This window comes from Homo sapiens, chromosome 2, assembly GCF_000001405.40.
Source record: "Homo sapiens chromosome 2, GRCh38.p14 Primary Assembly".
Lineage (NCBI taxonomy): Eukaryota > Metazoa > Chordata > Mammalia > Primates > Hominidae > Homo > Homo sapiens.
The window spans coordinates 99,545,060-99,562,540 of NC_000002.12; the positions used below are offsets into that span (position 1 = coordinate 99,545,060).

Sequence of the window (17,481 nt, forward strand, 5' to 3'; positions counted from 1 at the left end):
GTCACCATTTAAAGAGGCCTCAGAGATGGCTGGTGATGCTATGGAAGTGTCTGTAAGTAAAGATCCATGTGACACATGCTTAGAATTACAGACATCTCAGCTACATGGCCATCCTTTGGGCTTTGTGATCACTCATGCTACAGATGAAGGTAAGATGGGAGACTCCAAGAATGTTCTTTGAAAAGTCAGATACCCTTGGCTCCTGTGGATGGAATGCTGCTTAGTGAAGTAGTGCACATTCCTCACTGCTGAGTATTTTCTTTTTGCTCCTATGGGCATCTAGAAATAAAGGGATCTTGAATACTGGGGAAAATTCAGTTTTGTTTTATGGAAAATTGAAAAAGCAACGATAAGGAAACTAGAACATTGATATTATTTTAATTACCCAACAGCACTCTAAAAATCCTAAACATTGGTGCTATGTTATATCATGTCTAGATCCAAGTATTTCTGGATGAGCTTTCCTATTTTAAAAATGGGTAAAAAAAACAAAACAAAACAAAACCCAAGTCCCTGATTCAGCTTTTCAGGCTACATCAATACCCCTGGTGCTTCAACACAAATGCTGACCCTTGTACTGACTGGCAATTAGTGCCCTGAATTCAACCCTCAGATCAATGTCTATAAAATTGGCTGTAAGAGGTGGATTTTCAAAGTAACACACAGAGATTTAATCCCTTGATTCCCATTACTGTGAGTAAGAGCTGTGAACCTAAATCCCCTTGCAGCCAACACAAAATTTACCCCCTGCTGCCTCGGAGTGCCAATTAAAATAATAAAAACCAAAACCGTGGGCAGATGTAATTAGTTTGAGAACGGAGTTTATAATTTTCCTCATGCCAAGCAAACAAGTTAACCCCTTTGGTGACATATACAGAATAATCTGGACAAAGGGAACACAAATCTCAAGTCTGAACATTTCTTGTGCTATTTGCCAGGAAGTTGTAATATTGAAAAACTGTGCTCTTCTGAGAATGGGAAAATGAGGACATAAACTCTGGTTCCAAATGGTTGGAAGTGCAGTTTATGTGGTCAGGTTGTTTTTCCCCTTTCATTAAAAAAACTTTCAAGATTCCACTTGATCCGGGTTTCTTCGAAAATGTATTACTTTTTACAAATATAATTCTTATAGGGACAGACTTCAGCTGTGTAGCAGGCAAAGCTACAGAAGAGAACGTTCTTGAAAGACTGCTGGGTGTTTCTTAGCACAAACCACCTCTGAAAGAGTATCAAGCTCAGTGGTTGGTGAAGCAAAGCCAAGTTCCTGTCCCACCCATCTCTGGGATGAGGAGTTCTCCATGGTGACCCTGAGTCAGGCTTCTTCTGCACCCCTCTGCCTGGTTAATGAGGACTCAACTGAACTGCCCATCTGCAAACAAACCCTTTCTGCATTTTTCTCTCTAGACACGAGTGAGTTATGTCAGATGGTATAATGGGAAAAAGACAAAGGATATTTGAATCTAAGGACATGGGCTGGATCAGGTGAAGGGATGGTTTTGCTTTTGTTGCTGTTTCTGCTTCTTTAGTTTGGGGAGGAGGATAAGGAAAAGGGTTGGAGATAAGACTAAAAATGAAGTTAACAAACTTACCCTCCCACATAGGGGATGCTTCATGTCAAGCCACTGGTCTAATGCCTCCGTCTTCTTTAGTTCAAAATTATCTTATTTTACTCAACCAAATATTGCAAACATGATTCCACCATGTTGGTTTCAGTTGTGTGCAGTTCCCTGACTGCACACAAGTCAGGGAACTAACTTGTGACACTAAAGAATGACAAGCAAAGCGGCATCCCAGGGCTACTGGTTGAACAGGAACCCTGTGGCCATTGAGATGACCTTCTCAAGCTTCCTGTTGAGCCTTCACTGGGACACTGGGAGCGTGCATGTGCATACGTGCATGCATGTGCGCGCGTGTGTGCGTATGTGTATGTATCAGGAAATAGCAAAGACAAATAGTAAACTATAGTTATAATGAAGAAAAACATACTTCTTTTCCATGAAAAATGTCAGACTTCATACTGATAATCTGTGGGAGCTACATTTAAGCCATTTATGAAACAAAAAGATTGCTTTTCGAGATTATAAACTGGGAGCCAGAACAACTGACTTGAACGTATTTTGATTCTCAAGTTTCCGTGTAAAAATATTCACAGAAATTGGTGGATGTCTTTTACGTACAACTCAACTTCTCTCATTTACAACATAAATCATTTAATGTAACATTTGCAACCTTAGAAAGGCAGACATGTTTAATCCAAGTCCGTTTATAAATTCCAATTTCACATGGATTAAAAACTGCAGATAAATTAAGTCACAATAATATCCTGTACATGCATTAAGGCTGGTGACTGCTAAAGTCTCTTGGGAATCTACAAATAGGAAATCACACGCAGATTACTGGGTCTGAAGAGTGTCTACATTGTTAAAAAAATCTTGCTTTTTTTTTTTTTTGGTGATGCAGATTTCAACAGTAACTCTGGAAAACTGTGAAAAATGTTATTTAAAAATATATATGTATATGCTACTGCACAGTTTCAAAGATGTGATTCATAAATAATGTTGGCTGCACTGATTAATTTTATAACAATTACTGCACTTCCAAGTTGATGCGAACACGCAGTGACTCATACTCAATATTAGGCACTAGTAATATCCTTCAGGCGTACTACAGTTTTATGTTAGCTGTATTGTACATATATATTTTTAAATGTATGCATTTATACAAACTGTGTATATTATGTATGGGGTGTCAGAAATGTACACATCACTGTTATATAATACACACATCATTGTTGTACATATGAGGATAAGTTTTAGTGCAGAAAGTCTCATTGCATTGCATTCCATGTGTTCAATCTAGTACACAATTTGTCAACTCTTCAGATTATTTTTCCAGTACATTCCTCATTAGATTGTGGGTTTCAAGTTTCCATTTGCAATTTGAATGTTTCCAGAAATCTCTGTCTTAACCAAACCTCTCTCTCCAGGCACGATTCTGCACATGAGTCTGATCTGTGTAGAGTAGTATCATCAAAAATGCCAAATTTTGATCAGGAATATACCTGGACTACTCTCTTTCAAAGGCAATTGAACATCGTGATAAAGGATAGCATCTATTCAGGTCATGGAAGGATATGGTCAGTTGAACTTGTGTTGAACTTTGGAGGCAAATGTACGTCTTCAAATAAAAAGACATGGTAATAAAAATTATTTGCTTAAATTTGAGAGTCTCTGGAAGGATATACATCAAACTGTGAGCAGTGGTTGTCTCAGGCAGAAGGGACAACCAGGGACTTACACTTTCTACTTTCTACATTTCTGCACTGTTTGAGTTTTTACAATGAGTAGATATTACTTTTCTAATTAGAAAACACAAGAAAGGTATTTCAACTTGAAACAAAACTAAACAGGCCAGGCATGGTGGCTCATGCACTTTGGGAGGCCGAGGCCAAAGGATCGCTTGAGCCCAGGAGTTTGAGACCAGCCTGGGCAACATAGTGAGACCCCCATCTCTACAAAAAAAATAAAGAAAAAATTAGCCGGGTGTGGTGGCACGTGCCTATCTTCCCAGCTGCTTGGGAGGCTGAGGCAGGAGGATTGCTTGAGCCCAGGAGTTTGAGGCTGCAGGGAGCCATGATCGCGCCACCGCATTCCAGCTTGGGCTACAGAGCCAGACCCGGTCTCAAAACCAACCAAACCAACAACAACAGCAGTAACAACAAAACTAAGTAAAAGGAACAAGTTATGAATGACTTTCACAAGCAACAATTGGAGGATGGTTACTAACCAAAATCACCCATGCCAAACCCCACAGAAACTGCTGTACCAACGTGCTCCACACGTGCTCCACAGATGAAACAAGACAGTCATAAGAACTACACGCTCTGACCACTGCCCACAACGGTAAGTTTCAAGAAGTTTTCCTGGGAAATGTGGGCCATCAGAGTGCTGATAAAACACTGCTGGCCCACCTGTCAAATGGGGCTTCACAGGGAAGCTCATCACATAGATGTTACAACAAAGTCTGCAACTTTCAAGGTGGGCAGGACCAGAGAAGCTCTCCAGGTATGCAGGATAGACCTCCAGGGCCATCCCTTTATGTGTTTGAATATTTCATCAGGATTCTTCAAGAGTAGGTAGAACAAAGCCTCAGTCCTCCAAAAAAATGACTCAAAATTTCTTAAGTTAGGTTCAAGTTTCTGACATAGGATGGGATTGTGAACTCTGCCAAAAATTAGTGAAAGGGCTGGGTGTGGTGGCTCACGCCTGTAATCACAACACTTTGGGAGGTGGAGGCGGGTAGATCACCTGAGGTCAGGAGTTTGAGACGAGCCTGGCCAACATGGTGAAACCCAGTCTCTACTAAAAACACAAAAATTAGCTGGGCATGGTAGTGCACACCTGTAATCCCAGCTACTTGGGAGGCTGAGGCGGGACAATCACTTGAACCCAGGAGGCAGAGGATGCAGTGAGCCGAGATCGTGCCACTGCACTCCAGCCTGGGCAACAGAGCGAAACTCGTCTCAAAAAAAAAGTGAAAGGGTTGTAAGAAGCACCCCAGTTGGAGACATGTAAAATGGAAATTCTCTTAATATTTCCAAATGCTTGAAGGCCAAAGCCAAATGCAAATTCCACAAGCCCTTCTTATTTTCAATTAATTTCAAATCATCTAAGTTGTTCAGTCATTTATACAATTTTGAATCAGTGCTCAGAGCTAAGGAATTATGATGATCTTACTTCCCACCTACAGATCAGGCTAACAAAAATGTTAACACTGCAAACCAACCTGTAAGAATATCAGTGAATGTTTATGGATCAGCATCTAGTCTAAGTATTTTGTGCCGTCATCACCTTGAAAAAATGGATTGCACCACATATTACACCGCCTGCCTTTCTCAGACCGTCCTGGTGCAACTTTATCAAGTAAGAGGCCACAAGGACATTATTTTTGTTTTTAACGTGTGGCAAGATAGACCCTCTTTTTCAGGAGTTATTTTCTTTTCGTCAAGATTTCATATCCAAATATATTTAACAAGATGACTAAATCTAGGGCATAAGACACTACAAAAGAAAAAACATCAGACAAAAACTGTAAACAAGATGTCAAAGAAACTAAAATGTAAACTTAATTAAAAAAAGAAAACAAGAGAAAAACTCAGAGCAAGGTGTAAACATACCAGACACACAGGACACAGGAAGAGGCTCTGGTTGCTGCTGCCCCAGAAAGGAACTGTGATCTTCTGCATTGCAAGCAGCCTGCTAATCAAAGCCTGAAAAATCGCCCCCAAATCAAAACGCATCAAAGGGCTGCAGGTGCACATTCTGCATGAGGAGTGAGAGAATCAGCATTATCATGGCAAATAGCTCTCAGCCTGGTAAGCGAAGGATTCAGGCTCCTACTGAAGGGACAATCTAGGTAATGGCCTCATTTAGCCAAGAAAATCTGTAAGAAAGCTATTGGTGGAAAGAAAAGACTTGAAACAGATTGGCTGACAAATGCCATGTGGCTCTACAGCCACCGAGTCACAGTGGCAGGAAGAAGAAATGCATGTGGCTGGTGGGCTTGTTATCACAGGTGCAGAAAACTTCAACTCCTAACTGAGCTCCAACACACAGGCACTGCTACCTTAGTGTCTGTTAACTTTCAAAGACGCCGCGTTTTTGCTAAATCTCAGTGCCATTTGCATACTACTTGGAGGTGGGGCTGGGAAGGGCTGTGAGTGTCCATCTGTTTGCCTGGAATGCATTTAGTTGATAATAGAGTCAGATGGGGGAAGGGAATTAGAGGAAGAGCAGGGTATTTGGTAACATGCAATCTAGTAAACTTCCGGCACAAAAATACCTGGCTTATTTTCATTATTCAATTACCCATTAATACATACCAATCAAAAAATAATTGGGGAATAGTATATTAATACTGAAAGTAATCAACAGTATAAGAGCAGGTCCATCTTCACTGGCAGTCAAGCTTTTGGTGTGCTGTATTGCACCTGGTTAACTAACCCATGAGATTTTGGTTGAATTTTCTAAGAAGTCACGGTTTAGCACTGGAATGGAATAGAAAGTGTGTGTCTGTGATTGTGTGTGAGTGTACGGTGTGTGTGTGTGTGTGTGTGTGTGTGTGTACTTCCTCTAGTCAGAAACCTCTGATCACTTTGTCTAGCCTGGGATTATGGAAACTAGACAAAGAAGGTGTGTTCTGAAGAGCTGTGTATCTTACACACATACACAGGCGGCTTCTTATATACCCACACATACAAACACACATGCCCTGCAAAAGATCATTGTTCAATGCTGAGGAAATGTTCACCGCAGTCTGATAAATGCTGTGGCTGGGAGTTTCAGTAGCACAGTGTCCAAAAACGTTGAGCCATCTGTGGAGACCAGAGCCCACTCTGGCCCCAGGGTGAGGTCCCTATGACAGGTGGGCGCTGTTCCGCAGCCAGTGCAGGCCCTGTTGGGAGTACTGGACCAGGTGCTCCATGCTGCTGTGCAGGGTGACCGGCCCCATGAGCAGATCCAGGTCGTTGAAGAATTCTAGGGGGACAGAAAGAGTTGTTAAGAATGCCACACATGCTAGGTGTGCTATCCTGAGCAACTGATGTAAGGAAAAATTCCATTCATGGTCTCTATATAAATCAAGGATTCTCCGTTCCATCATGTAACTTTAGCATTCCTTTGAACAAAATAAAATCCAAGGATGGGGAACTCATCCTATATCCAAATAAATAAATACATGATATCTGCCATTTCTAACTCAAATGAATAGTATTTGCTTAGCCAAATAGCAAAGAAAATCCATATCCTCCAGCTGCATTCTCCTAGTCCAGTAATGCTTCCCACTCCTGAACGTGAACGTGGCTCTGTCGTCCCTCACCCTGTACTCAATTCTGGTATGCGCTGAGCCCCTGGAGTGAGTCCAAGGGGTGAGGCTCCAGGTTCCTGGGGGCAAATCAGAGATGGGTCACGAGACATCTGGACTGAAGTCACCTTCTAGCTTTTGAACATTCCCTAGGTTTGCCCTTTCACCAAATGTTTATGATGTGGCCAAGCACGGTGGCTCACACCTGGAATTCCGGCACTTTAGGAGGCTGAGGCGGGTAGAACGCTTGAGGTCAGGAGATCGCGACCAGTCAGGACAACATGGCAAAACCCTGTCTCTACTAAAGATACAAACAAACATTAGCCAGGTGTGGTGGCGCACACCTGTAATCCCAGCTACTCCGGAGGCTGAGGTGGGAGAATCGCTTGAACCCGGGAGGAGGAGGTTGCAGTGAGCTGAGATTGTGCCACTGCACTCCAGCCTGGGCCACAGAGCAAGACTCCGCCTCAAAAACAAACAAATATCTATGATGTACCAAGGCACTCTGCTAGGTGCAGGGGTGGGTAGGGGATGATAGCAGGATGAATTGTGTGGGCTCTGCTGTCTCAAAATCACAGTTTAGTGGCTGATAGAGGAAAACACATTCATATGGCTACTCTACTGTCATGGCTGGTCACTGCATACATTTCTTGGGAGTAAGCATCTGGGAGAAGTGTCTCAAAGGTCCTCACATACATGCTGAATGAAGACTTGCTGGGGCAGGGATGGGGAGGTGGCTAGGAGGTTGGCCAGGGCAGGGATCCAGGGGTAGAACAGAGGAGGAGGAGCAGGTAGGGGTAGGGGAACAATGCCAAGTCTGCACTGGACACTTGGCACTGAGCCCTCTGGTAGGAGACATCTAGCAGGCAGCTGGCAGTGCCATCTGGAGCTTGGCCTGCTCACAGTCTCCCAAACTGGACACGTGTATTTCTATACATTTGTCCTTTCTGTTTTGTCCACTGGTGACACCCACCCCACCTATTTCAGTCACTCAACTGCTAAGCGCTTTTCTTTTCTTTATTTTTTCCTTGAGATGGAGTCTCGCTCTGTCGCCCAGGCTGGAGTGCAATGGTGCGATCTTGGCTGTCTGCAACCACTGCCCGCCTTCCAGGTTCAAGCGATTCTCCTGCCTCAGCCCCCTGAGTAGCTGGGATTACAGGCGAGCACCACCACACCCGGCTAATGTTTGTATTTTCAGTAGAGACGGGGTTTCTCCATGTTGGCCAGCCTGGTTTCAAACTCCTGACCTCAGGCGATCCACTCACCTCAGCCTCCCAAAATCTAAGTGCTTTTCAAAGCCCTGTTCCATGGTTCCATGCCAGCTCCTCTAGCAAGCTCCTCCTGGTGGCTTCTGACCCCCATGGCATTCTCATTGGACTTTCTCTGGGCTGCATGTTATGTACTATGTGGTTTTATTTACAATCTCATGCACTCTGCCATACATTCCTTATCTCATCCTGAACATCTTGCTCTTTGGAGCTATCATGCTCCCATGCTATCATGGGAACATAGTTTGCATTTCATGGAGTGAACTCAGATTTGCACTCTTACCTGCTGCTGTAGGGCCAATAGTAAATTAGTATAATCTTTCAGGAGAAGAGTTAACAGCATATGTTGATATATATAACAATATATATCTTAAGAGAATCTGTATCTGTTGACCCCCAAATTTTATTCCACAACTCCCTCCTAAGAAAATAATCAGAAATATGGCCGGGTGTGGTGGCTCACGCCTGTAATCCCAGTACTTTGGGAGGCTGAGGCAGGCAGATCACGAGGTCAAGAGATCGAGATCATCCTGGCCAACATGGTGAAACCCCGCCTCTACTAAAAATACAAAAAAATTAGCTGGGAGCGGTGGCACATGCCTGTAGTCCCAGCTACTCGGGAGGCTGAGGCAGAAGAATCGCTTGAACCCAGGAGACGGAGGTTGCAGTGAGCCGAGATAGTGCCCATTGCACTTCAGCCTGGCAACAGAGCAAGATTCTGTCTCAAACCAAAAAAAAAAAAAAAAAAAAAAAGAAAAAGAAAAAGAAAAAGAAAATAACCAGAAATATGAACAATGACTTATGTAGGGATATTTACACCAACATTATTTGTCACAGTGGAAAAAAATTGGAAGGAACTTAAATGTCTAACAACAGGGGAATGGTTTGAGAAATCAGGATACTTTGTGACTGTATAATCAATGTACTAGGATATTATTATAGAACCACCATAAAGGGTGTTTTTGAACTAGTTAGTGACATGAGAAAATGCCTGATATAATGTCAAATGAAGAAAGGATATACAACTGTGTGAGTATCCCAGCTACTCAGGAGGCCGAGGCAGAAGAATCGCTTGAACCCGGGAGGCGGAAGCCCCTGGTTCCCCGTGGGGTGTGCGCTCACCTCGGTTTTCCTTGGCCAGGTTGTCGGCCATCTCCCAGTAGTCGTAGCTGTGCAGGATGCTGTTGGTGATGCTGACGTGGTTGGCCGCCATCTGGTGGATGCGCTGTGGGATGCTGACGATGGTCGACGGGGACAGGGCGCTGGCGTTGGAGAGGCTGCCCTGAGACCCCACGGAGCTGGCGGGAGAGGGGTTGGGAGACATGGGGGATGGGGTTCCAGTGCTCCTGGAAGGGGAGAGGTAGAAAAACCAGAGTGGCGAGGTCGGGAGCAAGCGAGGCAGGGCAGCCCCTTGGGGAACAGAAAGCAAAGCGCAGTGGCCCAGCACCATGCATTGTCTGGCTTACGGCATTGACTTTGGAAAAGCGAACTTACTTTCCACTGGCCCCCCACGGAGATGGGGCTTGGGCGGCTTTAGATGAGTTCTGCAAGAAAATAAAAACACTGACAGTGAGTGCCATCTGCGTGAGGTGAAACAGGTGACATGAACGTGTTTTCAGGTGACTGCAGAGAGAAGCAAAGGCAGACACTGCAGGAAAAAGGCACCTTCAGAGAAACTGGACCTGGGAAGTCTCCATCACAGTTCTCTGTTCCCTTTCTGGAAGGGAGTCGGGACAGCTGCCTGGACTTCGGAAGTTTAACAGTATTTCTCTTAAAGGGAGTTGCTCTTGAACATTCCTAAGAGAATATATTTAAATGTATTTCCCTAGCAGACAGGATACTCAAAAGTTCTAGTTTATCTGAATATTCTGATTTAGAAGTTATTTTGCATGGACAAGGTGCCTGCATCAGCCCTCAGTGAGGTAAGTGAAGGGCTTCACCCACAGCCTGGGTTTTTATGTACAAATTTTAGGTACCACATTAAGTCATAATCCCAACGGTCTGTTAAATCTTGAAGCAGCCTTACTTTTTCATTGTAAATTAATTTTTCTTAAAAGGAAAAAAGAGCAGGAACACCCTCATATCTCCCCTTATATACAATACTTTATATTTAAAAGTAGGACATGTTTGCAGAAACAGTCGACATACATTTACTTAGTGCCTGAAAATACATGACATCAGATTGTATTGTTTTAACTTAGGAAGTTTAAAAGTATTTCTTCTTAAAGTAAGTTGCTGTTGCATATTCCTAATAGAATTGATTAAAATATATTTCCAGAACAGACAGGATGTTCAAACATTCTGGTTTATCTGAATATTCTGGTTTAGGAAGTTCTGTTGCACAAGCCAGGTGCTTGCATCAGATATTTAAAAGTTTTGCCTCTAGTTAGGGAAGTTGCTCAATGCACAGTTAGATTTCCCCTCTGAGAACCCAATCATGCCTTCATAGGACTGTTAAGGGAGAAAGCGGTCTTTGTGATGCTGATGGGAGTTTTCCCCTTCCAGAGACAAGAAAACAGCCTCAGCCTGGTTCTCCAGAGACAACATGTTTCTTTTGGTTAGAAAGAACTTTATGGAGTGGTGACTGATTTTTCTGGTTTTAGTGCGGGTGTTATTAAAATGGCAAGAAATGGCCTGTCAGAACTCTGAGGTGCTACAATGGCAAGATGTAAATGTAAGGACAACACCGCAAACCATGCCACTTTTACCTGTGTCAGGAAATACAATTATTTTCATGAGGAGAATTAGGAAACCTTCCTGAACAGGGGAGCTTATCCTCCCTTTCTTGACACAATGTTACTGACACCTTTCTCAAGCTGGTGCTACTGGACTGATCACTTTGTTTCCACTTCATCCTGTGGTTCTGAGAACGTGATCTATAGAATGCATGTTCTGGATATAAGAACACTAATGGCAGAAGGGGAGAAAGGCTTGGGGGTTGCAGAAACAGTCCAGTAAAGGCTACTGAATGGAGGAAGAAGGCAGTGACTCACGCCTGTAATCCCAGCACTATGGGAGGCTGAGGTGGGTGGATCACCTGAAGTCAGGAGTCTGAGACCAGCCTGGATGACATGGTGAAACCCCATCTCTACTAAAGATACAAAAAATTGGCCGGGTGTGGTGGCACACGCCTGTAATCCCAACTACTTGGGAGGCTGAGACAGAATCGCTTGAACCTGGGAGGTGGAGGTTAGGGTGAGCCAAGATTGTGCCACTGCACTCCAGCCTGGGTGACGGAGCGAGACTCCGTCTCAAAAAAAAACAACAAAAAAAGAAGTCTTGAGTTCTCTTCCTCTACCACTAAGCCCCATGCCCAAGAAATACCGGTAGGAACAAAGTTCTTTTTTTTTAGAGATAGCTCTGTACTGATAAAACACATATAGCCAAATTGTCTTGGGTACCTAAAGATTTCATGGTTTCTGAACTCAAAGTAGCATTTAAATAGCCCTTGAGGCTGGGTGTATGGCTCACATTGGTAATCCTAGCACTTTGGGAGGCCAAGGCAGTAGGCTCGCTGGAGGACAGGAGTTCGAGAAGGGTCTGGACAACACAAGGAGACCCTCTGTCTACAAAAAATGAAAAAATGAGCTGGGTGTGGTGGTGTGTATCTGTGGTCTCAGCGACTTGGGAGGCTGAGGTGGGAGGACTGCTTGAGCCCAGGAATTCACAGCTGCAGTGAGCTCCGACTGTACCACTGCACTCTAGCCTGGGCAACAGAACGGGACAGAAAAAAAAAAAAAGTCCTTGAAACTTTGTATCCAAGTTTCAGTTATCAGGAATAAGTTCTGGAGATCTATTGTATGGGATGGTGACTACAATTAATAATGATATATAGTATACTTGAAAATCTCTAAAAGAATCGATTTTAAATGTTCCCATCACAAAAACGGTAAGTATGTGAGGTGATGGATATGTTAATTAGCTTGGTTTAATCATTCCACAATGTATAAATATATCAAAACATCACATTATACATAAGTACACGCAATTTGTTGTTGATTAATTAAAAAAATTTTAAAAATAGCTTTTGATGAAGGGTAAATGACATTAATTCCTTGAGGAGCAACTCTGATTTTCTGGTTGTGTTTTCCTTTTTTTTTTTTTTTTTTGAGACAAAGTCTCACTCTGTCGCCCAGGCTGGAGTGCAGTGGCGCCATCTCTGCTCACTGCAACCTCTGCCTCCCGGGTTCAAACGATTCTCGTGCCTCAGCCTCCCTAGTAGCTAGGATTACAGATGCCTGCCACCACGCCTGGCGTGTTTTCTACCCATTCTGTATGTATTAGTGGGCTGCAGAGAATATTAAGAACTTGTATCCCTTAAAAGTTTGTTGTAGCCCCTGGCGGCTTACAGAATTCAGCTTCCTTCTTTATTCAAGCATTTTCCTTGACTGTAATAATTCTCTTTAGTAGTAGATCTTACGTTCTGGATTTTTGAACACTATTGATGTTGACTTTAGGCACCTGAAGGAAAGGGAAGGCTCAGTGCTGGTTCTTGTCCTGAAGACACAGGACGGTCAATGGGCTGAGAAAGTGATGTCCATGGCCTAGCACCTGGTTACTCTACATGCACAATTGGAAGGCAGTGTGCTGAACATACCCCAGGAACCCCCAGCACAGCCTGGCCATTAGAGATCACCTCTAGAGGAGGTTGGGCATGAACAGATCTCAAATGATGGTTGTGTATCTGACAAAGGGCTGTTGGAGATAGAGACGGCATAATTTCTAGTTTCTATAGATAAACAGAGAAGAGGACCAGAAATCTCAAATTAATTATTAATGTAAGGTCGACCTCACAACAGTACATCAGCGAAGGCTTTTAAAAATTTATTCTCCCAGTGAAAATAATTTCATTCCCTGAGATAAGTAAAAGGTGGCATGGTTTGCAATTTTATCCCTATAGCTACACACTGCTATCTACTGCTTCTGAGTTCTAACAAGCCATCTCTTACCATTTTAAATAACGCCATTAAAAATTAAATAAGCTACTAGAGACTGGCTAAGAGGGAATGGCTCTAAGGGGTTACTTCTAAGGAAAAGAAGCTCTAAGTGAGCATGAGGAATTTATGTTAGCTATAAAGATGAATTTCCTAGGACAGTGGAACGAGTAACTGGATCTTCTTTCTCTTGAAGCCATAAAAATACCTGGACAAGGCTGGGCGTGGTGGCTCACACCTGTATTCCTAGCACTCTGGGAGGTGGAGGCGGGGAGATCACCTGAGGTCAGGAGTTCGAGACCAGCATGACCAACATGGTGAAACCCCATCTCTACTAAAAATACAAAATTAGCCAGGCGTGGTGGTGTGCGCCTGTAATCTGAGCTACTTGGGAGGCTGAGGCAGGAGAATTGCTTGAACCCAGGAGGCGGAGGTTGCAGTGAGCCGAGATCGCACCATTGCACTGCAGCCTGGGCAACAAAGAGTGAAACTCTGTCTCCAAAAATACATAAAAAAATAAAAATAAAAAAATAAAAATACTTGGACAAGAAGGCAGGGAGATACATTAGATGGGCTCTCAAAGGTCCATTCTGAGGCCTGAAAGCCACAAGTGTGGCATAAATGGGGTTACCTTGGGGACCAGAGGTGACCTGCATTAACCCCAAAGCAATGGAGTCTACCAGGTGCTTCACAAATTTGACAGGGAGACAAGTGAAATTAAGGAACAATTCTGCTCATTCACTAGACAGTACCTTGAAATAGTCGATTAGTGCTTTTGAATACTTTACAGCGTGGTCCCTTTTGAGTCGAAACATCCGCCAGTACAGGAGGGCCAGGCATCGGTAACTGCAGGCGAAAAGAGAAACAGGCCCAGAAGCGGCTGAGTGCGTCGTGCGCAAACAAGACTTAAACATTTTTGTTGTTGTTCTAAGGTACTCAATAACAATACCTTGTTTCTACATAGGAAATCTTTCTATACGTGCATATAATGTCTGTGAGGGAACATCTTTTGTCCAAAAATAGAATTCAAAATTCCAAGAAGGTATTCCATAAATACATTTATCACTAGATAATTTTACAGCATTAGGTGAATCACTCTGTTGGGTCACAGGGGCCGGCCGCTTCCTTCTTCCACCACGAGAGGGCGCTGTCTCTCCACGAGAGGCGCGAGGTAGCTCTAGTACGCAGCCTTCACTGCTTCGCGGGCGAGCCCCGCTCTGCGGAAAGGACGACGCTGCCACCTGATGTTACTGAACTATAAGCAGCTCCACTAAAGTCACAAACATGAATGTACTTTATAAACAACAAAAACACTATGCTGGGAATAGGTGCCATCATTATAAACAACAAAAACACTATGCTGGGAATAGGTGCCATCATTTTATTATTTCCTATAATATTTTGTATACTTATTTATATATCAGTATTCTATCTTATATAATCATATTATTGTCATTTAGTGTATTATTCCAATATGGGACTTAAAGTTTGAAAGGGGCACAAAAGGCGTTTCTGAGACTTATCCTCTCTTCCTTGGAGCTCTTCACTCAGTTATTTGCTAACTCGGATCTGATGCTGACATCCAGAATACCAACATTCTGGGTGCAATGGCACCATCTCCTCCTACCAACCAAATCCAGGACAGGTAACAATTTGAGACCTTTTTTGTGTCTGTTGCTGTTATTATTATTTTTTAATTCAACTGTCTTTATTTCACTGCTTGGTAGACATGTATTCTATCAACATTCTCTGCCTTCCACCTACTGATGAGTAAGAAAGGGCTGACAGGTAAAGGAACTATAGGTTACCCGATCGTTCCCTTTTTTCTGTGGCATCATTTTCAAAGTAAGCGGCTGCGCCGGGTGCGATGGCTCACGCCTGTAATCCCAGCACTCTGGGAGGCTGAGGCAGGCAGATCACTTGAGGTCAGGAGTTCAAGACCAGCCTGACCAACATGGTGAAACCCCATCTCTACTAAAAATACAAAAATTAGGCCGGGCACAGTGGCTCATGCCTGTAATCCCAGCACTTTGGTAGGCCTGTCGATTTTCAATCACTGTGAATTCAGATCATGTATAGTACGGCAGCAAAAAATGGTCTGGACTTTCCCTGGTCATTAGAACTGCTCTGGGGCTTTGTATGTTAGAAGACATTGGGCAAACACTATGCCTTTCAGCACCTGGTTTGCCAATGATGGCATGCGAGGCTGGGGCTGCTATTCTAAGCGGAGATGGGCACTCACCATAATGCAGCCAGTTGTTTGTCTTCTGGTGTGGCATTGGGGCCTGAGTGGGTTTTTAGTCTCATAGCATACCTTAGAAAAAGCGGGGAGGAGGAATAGAATAAAAAACATAAAAAGCAAAGAAATAGTAAAACTAGCTTTTTTATTAACAGAACTTCTATGATGGTAGTTCTCCCTGCCTGATCCTTAGCTTTTCATAGTACTTGCTGATAATTCTTTCTTAAAAGCTAGCTGGTGCTGCTCCATTTTCCCAAGTATTACATTACTGTGATGACTAGAACAGCTACTTTCTGCTCTTTAACAGTACAAGTTCAAATGCTACAGATTGTCGGGAGTGATACCAGTTCAAGAACTATTCATGTATATGCTAACATGTCCATTTTTCCACATTTTGATTTATGGCTGAGTGTCTGACAGATGGAGGTGAAGTTCTATCCTTCTGTGCTTACCTCCAGAAGAATTTCCATCCTGGGTATGCAGAGGAATGCTTAGATTTACCCCTCTTTCTTTGTTATGTAACTTTTACTTTGACAGCTACATAAGTGTCCTGAGTACATTTTTAATCTCTGTTTGCTTCTACAGACAGATACTACGAGAAACTAGTGGCTTTTATGGACTGCACTTAATTCCATTTATTTTTCTGAACCAAGGGGACTGTGGCCATTGCTTTCTCCCAACAACATACCAAATTACATATGCAGACTCTTTGAGAGAGCTGAGGCAGTATGTGTAATGATCAGATTGTCCTAGGTTCAAATCTCAGCTCAGCGACTTATAAGTTGTAAGTGCTTAGACAAATGTATTAACATCTTTAAGCCTCCATTTCCTTATCTATAAAATAAGACTAATACTGCCAATCACATAACATTGTGTTAAGAATTAACTAAGATAGCGTTTGTAAAGCTCTTGGGATAGTTGGCTGGCTTGTAAATTGCTCAAGAAACATACTGTTATCATCGCACTATCTCCTCAACATGCAGACTTGTAGCATTTTTCAGTGTTATCTCTTTGCATAATTTTTACAGCGGTTGCTCTGGATTTTACAATATACATGTAATTTATTGGTATCAACATTTTATCACTTTGGGATAGTATGGAAGTCTTACTTCAATTTAGATACCTTTACCTTCCCCACTTAAAAATAGCATTGTCTTGAGTATCAGATGGTGGTATAATTTTTTATTGTTTTGTTTTGTAGCAGTGGGGTCTTACTATGTTGTCTGGGCTGGTTTCAAACTCCTGGCCTCAAGCTATCCTCCCAGCTTGGCCTCCTAAAGTGCTGTAATTACAGATGTGAGCCACTGTGCCTGGACTGCTGGTATAATTTTTGTTTCAATCCTCAAACCTGGTTTATAAACTCATAAGGAGTAGTTTATTGTATATATATCTATGTGTCTGTTCTTCCTTCTTTCCCAATGCTCCCATATTCCTTCTTTTGTCATTTTATTTCTGTTTGAGAAACTTCTTTTAGCCAGTCTTTAAGGGTGGGTCTTTTAGAGACACATACTTGTACTTTTCCTAAATCTGAGGCTATCTTTATTTCCCTTCATTCTTGAAGAATAGTTTCACTGACTCTAGAATTCATGGCTTCACAGTTCCTTCTTTGAACCCTTGGAAACTGTCACGCCACTCCCTCCCAGCCTGCATGGTTTCAGAGAAGCCTGCTGTCATTCGAATTGATTCTCCCCTGCAGATAATTATCGTTTCTCCCTGGCTGCTTTCAGGATATTTGGCCTTTAGTTTTTGGAAATGTAATCATGGTGTGTTTTTGCATGCATTTCTTTGGGTTTATCTTATTTAGGTTTTTCTCTGCTTCTTAAATCTGTAGGTTTATGTCTTTTGACAAATTTGGCAAGTTTCAGCCATTATTTCTTCAAATACTCTCTCAGTCCTACTCTCTATTCCTCTCCTCTGAGACTTCCATGACACAAATGTTGGATTTTTTCTTATTGTGCTTGAGGCTGTGTTCATTTAATTTTTTCAGTCTATTTCTTCTTTACTGCTCAGATTGGGTAAATTATATTTTTTGTCCTCAAGTTCATTGACTCTCTCCTGTCATCTCCACTCTACTACTGAGTCCATTTTTGGGGTTTATATTATCAAATTCTACAGTTTCACAATTTCCATTTAGTTCTTTTTAAAATAACTTCCATTTCTTTGAAAAGATTTTCTGGTT

At 42.6% G+C, this 17,481-nt stretch overlaps 1 protein-coding gene across 28 annotated transcripts in view, besides 3 other annotated features; it reads right to left on the reverse strand.

The window, feature by feature from the left end:
* The window catches only part of AFF3 (ALF transcription elongation factor 3), a 597,172-nt gene continuing 580,050 nt past the window's right edge, over window positions 360-17,481 (reverse strand). For 24 of the 28 annotated variants that reach the window (NM_002285.3, XM_047444286.1, NM_001386135.1 and 21 more), the window contains 5 exons: window positions 15,306-15,377; window positions 13,816-13,909; window positions 9,624-9,673; window positions 9,252-9,475; window positions 360-6,536 (listed from right to left, as the gene is read on the reverse strand). In NM_002285.3, the coding sequence (NP_002276.2) occupies window positions 6,415-6,536; window positions 9,252-9,475; window positions 9,624-9,673; window positions 13,816-13,909; window positions 15,306-15,377 (562 nt within the window). In that variant the 3' untranslated portion in view covers window positions 360-6,414. The remainder of the gene's footprint in view (window positions 6,537-9,251; window positions 9,476-9,623; window positions 9,674-13,815; window positions 13,910-15,305; window positions 15,378-17,481) is intronic. The other 4 variants (XM_011511171.4, XM_047444285.1, XM_047444289.1 and 1 more) reach the window with 1 other exon arrangement.
* Window positions 8,856-9,404: an enhancer, noted in NCBI's record as "H3K4me1 hESC enhancer chr2:100170377-100170925 (GRCh37/hg19 assembly coordinates)". NCBI's record gives its function as "activates a minimal SCP1, AML or CMV promoter by ChIP-STARR-seq in primed H9 embryonic stem cells {active_cell/tissue: H9 hESC(primed)}" and the evidence as "EXISTENCE:reporter gene assay evidence [ECO:0000049][PMID:30033119]".
* Window positions 9,405-9,952: an enhancer, noted in NCBI's record as "H3K4me1 hESC enhancer chr2:100170926-100171473 (GRCh37/hg19 assembly coordinates)". NCBI's record gives its function as "activates a minimal SCP1, AML or CMV promoter by ChIP-STARR-seq in naive H9 embryonic stem cells {active_cell/tissue: H9 hESC(naive)}" and the evidence as "EXISTENCE:reporter gene assay evidence [ECO:0000049][PMID:30033119]".
* Window positions 10,336-10,842: an enhancer, noted in NCBI's record as "NANOG hESC enhancer chr2:100171857-100172363 (GRCh37/hg19 assembly coordinates)". NCBI's record gives its function as "activates a minimal SCP1, AML or CMV promoter by ChIP-STARR-seq in naive H9 embryonic stem cells {active_cell/tissue: H9 hESC(naive)}" and the evidence as "EXISTENCE:reporter gene assay evidence [ECO:0000049][PMID:30033119]".